The 8,314-nt window shown below is 35.7% G+C and overlaps 1 protein-coding gene across 11 annotated transcripts in view, besides 2 other annotated features; it reads left to right on the top strand.

Annotated features, from left to right (window-relative positions):
* Nucleotides 93–182: a silencer, noted in NCBI's record as "silent region_17272". NCBI's record gives its function as "represses an Ori minimal core promoter by ATAC-STARR-seq in GM12878 lymphoblastoid cells {active_cell/tissue: GM12878}" and the evidence as "EXISTENCE:reporter gene assay evidence [ECO:0000049][PMID:35858748]".
* The window catches only part of CYP39A1 (cytochrome P450 family 39 subfamily A member 1), a 103,239-nt gene continuing 95,081 nt past the window's right edge, over nucleotides 157–8,314 (top strand). For all 11 annotated transcript variants that reach the window (NM_001278739.2, NM_001278738.2, XM_017010924.2 and 8 more), the window contains exon 1: nucleotides 157–569. Coding sequence is in view for 10 of the 11 variants with exons in the window: in NM_001278738.2 (NP_001265667.1) it covers nucleotides 393–569 (177 nt within the window). In the remaining variant the exon portion in view is untranslated. The remainder of the gene's footprint in view (nucleotides 570–8,314) is intronic.
* Nucleotides 203–252: an enhancer, noted in NCBI's record as "active region_24653". NCBI's record gives its function as "activates an Ori minimal core promoter by ATAC-STARR-seq in GM12878 lymphoblastoid cells {active_cell/tissue: GM12878}" and the evidence as "EXISTENCE:reporter gene assay evidence [ECO:0000049][PMID:35858748]".

The following is an 8,314-nucleotide window of genomic DNA, read 5'->3' as shown; positions in this document are numbered from 1 at the left end:
AGCGGAGCCCAGGAGGTTACTGGGCAATGTAGTCCGCCGGGCTCCGCTACGTCTCTGATTGGCCGGCCGCGGGTCCCTCTGCGGCTCCGCCCCCGGCCTCCATGGCAACGCGGCTGGTTCTCGCCCGTCAGTCCTAGCCCGGCCCTGCCCCTCCTTGCATTTTTTCCGCGCTGGCTGAGATTCAAAGAGAAGTGGAGGTGGGAGGGAGCGACAATGGAAAAATCACCTGAAAACTGGGACAGAGGAAGGAAGCTACAGTTACGAAGGAGAGCTGCAAAAGTTGCAGCAGAAAGGTTGGGAGTCCCGACAGGTTCCGTAGCCCACAGAAAAGAAGCAAGGGACGGCAGGACTGTTTCACACTTTTCTGCTTCTGGAAGGTGCTGGACAAAAACATGGAACTAATTTCCCCAACAGTGATTATAATCCTGGGTTGCCTTGCTCTGTTCTTACTCCTTCAGCGGAAGAATTTGCGTAGACCCCCGTGCATCAAGGGCTGGATTCCTTGGATTGGAGTTGGATTTGAGTTTGGGAAAGCCCCTCTAGAATTTATAGAGAAAGCAAGAATCAAGGTATGTGGTCGTGGCAGACGGGGTCTCCAGAGGAGACAATGCTTTCTTTTTTAAACTTTCTTTCATTGACTCTTAAGTGCAGGGCTAGAACACGGGGAACATACCTGCTTGCCTCAACTAAAGGATCTAGTCATTTCTGAATTCCTCTACTAACAATTAACAACAATATCCTGTGCAAAATTTTGCGAAAGAAATGAAATACAATTGCAGCGTGCATCGACATTTTTGGAAGTAGAGATTAACTTTTCGTATTTTTACTTCATCGAAGTTAAGTTCCAAATGTGTATGTGTTAAGTAAATGTTTTCAGTAATTGGGAAAGATAAAGTGTAATCCAATTTAAGTTTGTGAAAATGAGTAATTCGTATCCAAATTGGAGTTAACACCAAAGTATTGTACAAATTGCTTGCACAGTTGGTCCGTACACAATAAACAGGCTCTGTATTTTTAGCTGACGTTGTTATTTGATGATGATGTACTCCATTTTCACTACGGCCTGAAGAGACTAGTAATCCTCCTTGTAGTAGATGTTTTTGTCTTGAAAGTATCTTTTAAATGTCTGAGCACTTTAAGGAACAGACCTTTATTAATGTCTTTTAAGTTTTATTCAATTTCCAGTCACAAATATTTTATGGTATTTGATTGTCTAATAAATTTGTATGATATTATAATTATTCTTATGAATTATAATACTTTCTGTGGTGACCCATTTTCCATCTGGTTAGCCCAATTTGTAGAATGAATTTATACGTAGTAGCATTATTTTACCACTGATCATTTGCCTTCAAAATCTCTGAGATTCCAATTTAGTAAAAAACATATAGAAAATTAAAGAGAACTAAGATGAAAATAAAAATAACCCAGAATATCACACCAGCTGTACTGTAAAAATTTAGTGTATTTATATTATTTTGGTCATTTTCCTATGTATTTACAACTATTTAATGAACAACAATGGAATAATAGTATAATACTCTTTTATGTGCTTTTGATTTTAACATATAATGTGAATGACTTTCCTGTACCATGAAATACTTTGAATCTTCCTTTTATGGCTATATTTTGTCATAGGAGGATACAATAGTTTACTTAAATCTCAATAGTTGGGTTTATAGGTTGCTGCCAAACTTTTTTCTTTCAGCCAGTGCTTCAGTGAACATTCTTGCGTGTTTGTGTGCATGTATTGATTGTGTGGTTGTACATTTTGCAATTATCTGATTGTTTACTCAGAATAAATTCCTAGGAGTAGAATTGCTGAGTCAAAGGACATGCACACTTAAATTGTTTATATGAATGTGTTACTTTTGGAAAAAGAAGTATGAATATGCAATTTTTATTTTCCATTGACTGTATGCAATTGCCTAACTTCTCAAATCCTGGGCCATACTGAATACCATAATTCTTTGCAATTTTTGCTAGTCTGATAGATGAAACATTATATCTCCTAAAGAAATACTCCTTTGTCTCCCACAGCCTTCCTTATGCATATGATCTTGATAATTTTTAAGGAACTGTTTTTTTACAAGCTTGTGTCAGAAGGCTAAATATTTGTGAGGTCTCTATTGCTTTCCTGACTAAACAAAACAAGTTATTGCTGGACTCTGTGTCTCACACCTGTAATCCCAACACTTTGGGAGGCAGGGGTGGGAGGATTGCTTGAGGCCAGGAATTTAAGACCAGCCCGGGAGATATAGCAAGACCTCATTTCTACAAAAACTAAATAGAAAAATAAAAAATTTAATCTGGTCCAGTGGCACATGCCTGTAGTCCCAGCTCCTCGAGAGGCTGAGGCGGGAGGATTGCTTGAGCTCAGGAGTTCCAGATTCCGGTAAGCTATGATTGAGCCACTGCACTCGAGCCTGGGCAACAGAGCGAGACCTTGTCTCTTAAAAAAAAAAAAAAAAAAAAAAAAAAAAAAAAAAAGAATATGACTGCATTATTTGATGTTTTACTACTAAAAGCTTTTAAGGTTCACTCTTGTCTTTTCTTGTACCCTTAATCTGGGCAGTATGATAAAAAAAAAAGCCAGAGTGCTCCCACCTTTGGTGCCAGGGGAGATTCAAATCACACAAACCTCAACCTTCATGCAGGAAGGCTCACACCAGCCTACCCCCTAACCACAATGAAACCCTAAGACCTGTCTCTTTTCACTGTTTTCTCAAGTCATTTTCAGATCAGCTTGAGAGGACTGCCCTTCTTTCCCCAGAGAAGTCTCATTGTGTATGAAATAAACCTCTTCATACCCTCTCAAGGTGTGTATGTGTGTATGTGTGTGTGTGTGTGTGTGTGTGTGTGTAAATGTAGTAATTGTCTTAACATCCAAACCAGATCTTGGGTGGGGGTCCATTCTGAGTTTTCGCAGTGGCTGCAACAGGTACTCAGTAGACTTGATGCGAAATTGCATCTAAATGGCACCTGCATAAGACACTACTTATGGCGTATTGAACCTTCAAGAAAAAACTTCTAAAACTCCATCATTAGCTAACACTCTCAGCTTCTCATGCTCCTCTAGAAGACTGAGAAGAGACAACTTTGGTGACCACAAAAACATCTTCCCATTATTTTTATTTAATCTTTGAATAGATCATGCATTTATACGGTTCAAAAAATTGTAAATATAAAAACTACGGGGAAAGTCCCTTCAACCTCTTTTTCCCTTCCACCCAGTTCTCACTCCTCACTCCCAACCTTGGCAACTGTAATTCATTTCTTATATATTGTTTCATAGTTTCTTTAACTGTATACAAGCAAATAGAATTATAGATTTTTATTTTCCGCCTTATAAGCAAAATGTGTCATATTATTCACACTGTTCCTATGTCAGTAGGGATTTACTCTTTACATATTAGTACCATATAGAACTCCTAATTCTTTGAAGATGCATGGATATGGCTACATTTATTTAATAAGTTTCCTCATCGATAGACATATGGTAGTCAGATTTCTAAGATAACCTGCAATGATCTTGCAACGATTCCCTTGTGTAATCACTTCCTTTTGAGTGTCAACAAAACCTAGTGACTCACCTCTAATGAACACAATATGGCACAAGTGATCTGATGTTACTTCTGTGATTAGGCTTTCATCTTGATAGCAGACTCAATTGCCTTCCTAGTTTGCACTCTTTGATGATGAAAGCTGTCATTATAGAGAGGCCTACAAGGCAAAAAATAGAGGGAGGCCCTGGCCAACCCCAGTAAAAATCAAAAGTCTTCAATCCAGTAGCCTGTGAAAAACTAAATTCTGCCACCAACCGTGTCAGCTGGGTAGTGAATACGACTACCTGAGTTGAGCCTTGAGATGGCTAGAACCCAATCTTTAGTTACGAAATTCTGTTACAACAGAAAAACCCATATTGCAAACCTGATACTTTGTACTTTATAATTGAGACAGAAGATTTTGTTTATGCTTCAAACTGCCTGGTTATATCAGTCTTTTGTTTATTAGAATTTACCATTTTTTAAGCATGAGACATTGATAACATTTCTGGCACTCTGAGAGAGTTATTTTAAACATGTAATAGTATAGACAATCTGCAGCTATCTACAAGTATCTATTTGTTGACACAATGGAAACATTATTTGTTTTTTTTTTTAACTTTTACCAACTGTTTTAATATACATCAAACAATCTGCATTAATCCTTTTAGTCTTTTTGACCTACCCTCTCTGCATCTTAATCATTTTCTTGTTGTGCCAATACTGTTTGCATAAGAGTAGGTTTATAATTTTTTTTTATTATTATACTTTAAGTTCTAGGGTACATGTGCACAACATGCTGGTTTGTTACATATGTATACATGTGCCATGTTGGTGTGCTGAACCCAGTAACTCATCATTTATATTAGGTATATCTCCTAATGCTATCCCTCCCCCCTCCCCCCTCCCCCCACCCAACAACAGGCCCCGGTGTGTGATGTTCCCCTTCCTGTGTCCAAGTGTTCTCATTGTTCAATTCCCGCCTATGAGTGAGAACATGTGGTGTTTGATTTTTTGTCCTTGTGATAGTTTGCTGAGAATGATGGTTTCCAGCTTCATCCACGTCCTTACAAAGGACATGAACTCATCCTTTTTTATGGCTGCATAGTATTCCATGGTGTATATGTACCACATTTTCTTAATCCAGTCTATCATTGATGGACATTTGGGTTAGTTCCAAGTCTTTGCTATTGTGAACAGTGCCACAGTAAACATACGTGTGCATGTGTCTTTATAGCAGCATGATTTATAATCCTTTGGGTATATACCCAGTAATGGGATGGCTGGGTCAAATGGTATTTCTAGTTCTAGATCCTTGAGGAATCACCACACTGTCTTCCACAATGGTTGAACTAGTTTACAGTCCCACCAACAGTGTAAAAGTGTTCCTATTTCTCCACATGCTCTCCAGCACCTGTTGTTTCCTGACTTTATAATGATCGCCATTCTAACTGGTGTGAGATGGTATCTCATTGTGGTTTTGATTTGCATTTATTTGATGGCCAGTGATACAGAATGGGAAAAAATTTTTGCAATCTATTCATCTGACAATGGGCTAATATCCAGAATCTACAAAGAACTCAAACAAATTTACAAGAAAAAAACAACCCCATCAAAAAGTGGGCAAAGTATATGAACAGATACTTCTCAAAAGAAGACATTTATTCAACCAACAGACAGATGAAAAAATGCTCATCATCACTGGAAACATTACTTGAAAACACAGTGTCCCAAAGTGTACTAGGCTGAAGTTCGATATTTTGCAAAAATATTCAATAAATAGTTTAAGTAGATTGTTGGAAAAATATTTGCTCAATAAAGCATCATTATTTTTCAGGTTCTAATGAGGGAAATGGTGTCTACCTCCCACCAACAGGTGTAGAATGTGAAATTCTGAAAATGTGGGCATAGGATCTAAATGTCAAGCAGCCCCCAAAAAGACAAAGTTCCCTACATTAAAATAGGTAAATTAGACAACTTCTGCAGTTTGTCTACTTAAACAGCTCTTGGGAAGGGCACCTCCTTTAAGCCACTCTAAGCGATATTTGAAGTCTTACCTGTAGTCATCTATGTTGAGTTAAAATCTACTTTCTCTTATATTATTAAAGCTGCACCAACTTTGTTTTGGTTAGTGTTTGGATGATACATATTTTTCTATCCCTTTCAATTTTTCTGAGTCTTTGTATTTTAACCCAGTCTCTTGAAAAATAAAAGATAGATTGAACCAAATGAAAATAAAAATACAACATGTCATAATTTCTATCACTATGTGCTTATATTAGAAAAGAAAAACCTGAAATCGATAAACTTTCAAGAATCATCTCCTTTTATAAACAGAGTAAAATAAGCCCAAATAAAGCAGAAGGAAGGAAATAGTAAGGAACAGAAATCAATGAAGTTGAAAATTAAAAAAAAAAATAAGGAAAATCAATGAAAGAAAGAACTGGTTTTTTGAGAAGACCAATAACATTGCCAGACTTCATGCAAGACTGATAGAGAAAACACCAATGACCGATGTTTGAATGAAACAGGGAATATCACTGCAGACATCAAAAGGGATGATAAGAAAATACTATGAATAACTCTACAAACATAAATTTAACAAGTTATATAAAATGGATCAATTCTTAGAAAAACGTATTCTAACAAAACTATCCAATATACAATACATAATTTTAATAGCCCTACACTATTAAGGAAATTGAATTTGTATTTTGATAACCTCCCAAAAAGAATTCTCTATGCCCAGATTGTATCATTGGAAAACTATACCAAATGTTTAAAAAAGAATTAACTATGAGTTCCATTTCTTCCAGAAAGTAGAAGACAAAGGAACATTTCCCAGTCTATTTTATGAAGCTGGTATTACCTTGATCTCAAACCACAGATAGTACGGAAAAAAACTACAGACAAGTATTACTTATGAATATATTAATAGATGCAGAAATAACAAAATATCAGCAAATAAAATTTATCAGTATATGAAAAGAATTACCGAGTGAAGTCTGTCAATCCACATAGGCTGCTGTATTAACAAGCTAAAGAAGAAAAAGCACATAATTGATACAGAAAAAGCATTTGACAAAATTCAATATCCATTCCTGATATCCATTCATGATATCAGGATTCATGATAGAGGGAAATTTCCTAACTCAATAAAGGACATCTACAAAAATCCTGCAGTTAACAGGACACTTAAATGATGAAAGACTAAATACTTCCCCCATGTGATTGGGAACAAAGCAAAGATCTCTGTTGTCACAACTCTTATTCAGCATAGTGCTGGAAATTTTAGCCTGTGCAATAAAGTAAGAAAAGAAAAGAAAATATATATGGATTCGAAAATAAGAAATAAAACTGTCTTAATTTGCAGATTACATGATTGTCTATGTAGAAAATCCCAAGGAGTCTACAAAAACCTCTGGAATAAATGCAAGGTATACATAAAGATATCAATTGTTTGGTTACATACTAACAATGAACATGTGGAAACCATAATTAAAAATACATTACCATTTAAAATAACTCAAGAAATATTTAGGTATAAATGTAACAAAATGTTTAGAACTTGTATGCTAAAATCCACAAAACATTGATGAAAAAAATCAAAGGTCTTAAGGGAGAAACATACTGTGTTCCTGATTGGAAAAGTCAACATATTAAAGATGTCAGTTTCCTCCAAACTGATATCCAGGTTTGATGCAAATGCTATTCCCAGCAAGATTTGTTGTAGATATAGACAAGGTTATTCTAAAATTTATATGGAAAGACAAAGAAACTAAAATACATAAAACAATTTTGAAAAAGTAGAATAGAATGAGAGGAATCATTCCACTCAATTTCAAGGCCTATTATTAATCAAGATGATTTAGTACTGGCAGAAGGATAGACACAAAGATTAGTGGAACAAAATAGAGTATCTAGAGATAGAGCCACACAAACATGCCAAGTGATTTTTGGCAAAGGTGCAAAAACAACTCAATGAAATAAAGATGGCCTTTTTAAACAAATGGTGATGGAGCAATTTGATAGCGTAAGCCAAAACAAACAAAACAACAACAAAGAACCACCCCCAACACACACAAAACATGAATTTCTACCTAAGTCCTATATCTGATATAAAATTAACTCAAAATAGATAACAGACTTAAATGTAAAACATAAAGATATAAAACCTGTAGAAAGAAATATAGAAGAATATCTTCCTAATTTGGGATAGAAAATAGCTCTTAGACTTGACACCAAAAGGACAGTTCATAAAAGGAAAAACTGATAAATTGAACCTCATCAAAATTAAAAGCATTTGCTCTGTAAAAGAGCTCATTAAAAAGATTTAAAGAAAAGCTACACACTGGGATAAAATATTTGCAAACCACATATCCAACAAAGGACTAGTATCTAGAATATATAAAGAACTGTCAACACTCAACAATATAATACAAAATCCAGTTAGAAAATGGGCAGAGGACATACACAAGATGTATCAATGAAGAGAATATTCAGATGTCAAATTGGTACACGAAAAGATGTTCAACATCAATAGTCATTAGAGATATGCAAATTAAAATCATGAGATACTACTACACATCTATCAGAACGGCAAAGATAAAAATTGCAACAACACCAAATATTGGTGAGGATACAGAGAAACTGGATTACTTATACATATGGTGGAAATATAAAATGGTACAGCCACTCCAGAAAACACTTTCTCAGTTTCTTAAACATCCAAACACGCAGCCAACCATATGACCTGGCAATTGCACTTC

The sequence above is a fragment of the Homo sapiens genome, chromosome 6, assembly GCF_000001405.40.
Source record: "Homo sapiens chromosome 6, GRCh38.p14 Primary Assembly".
In the NCBI taxonomy this organism is placed as follows: domain Eukaryota; kingdom Metazoa; phylum Chordata; class Mammalia; order Primates; family Hominidae; genus Homo; species Homo sapiens.
This window is presented reverse-complemented; position numbering and strand designations above follow the sequence as displayed.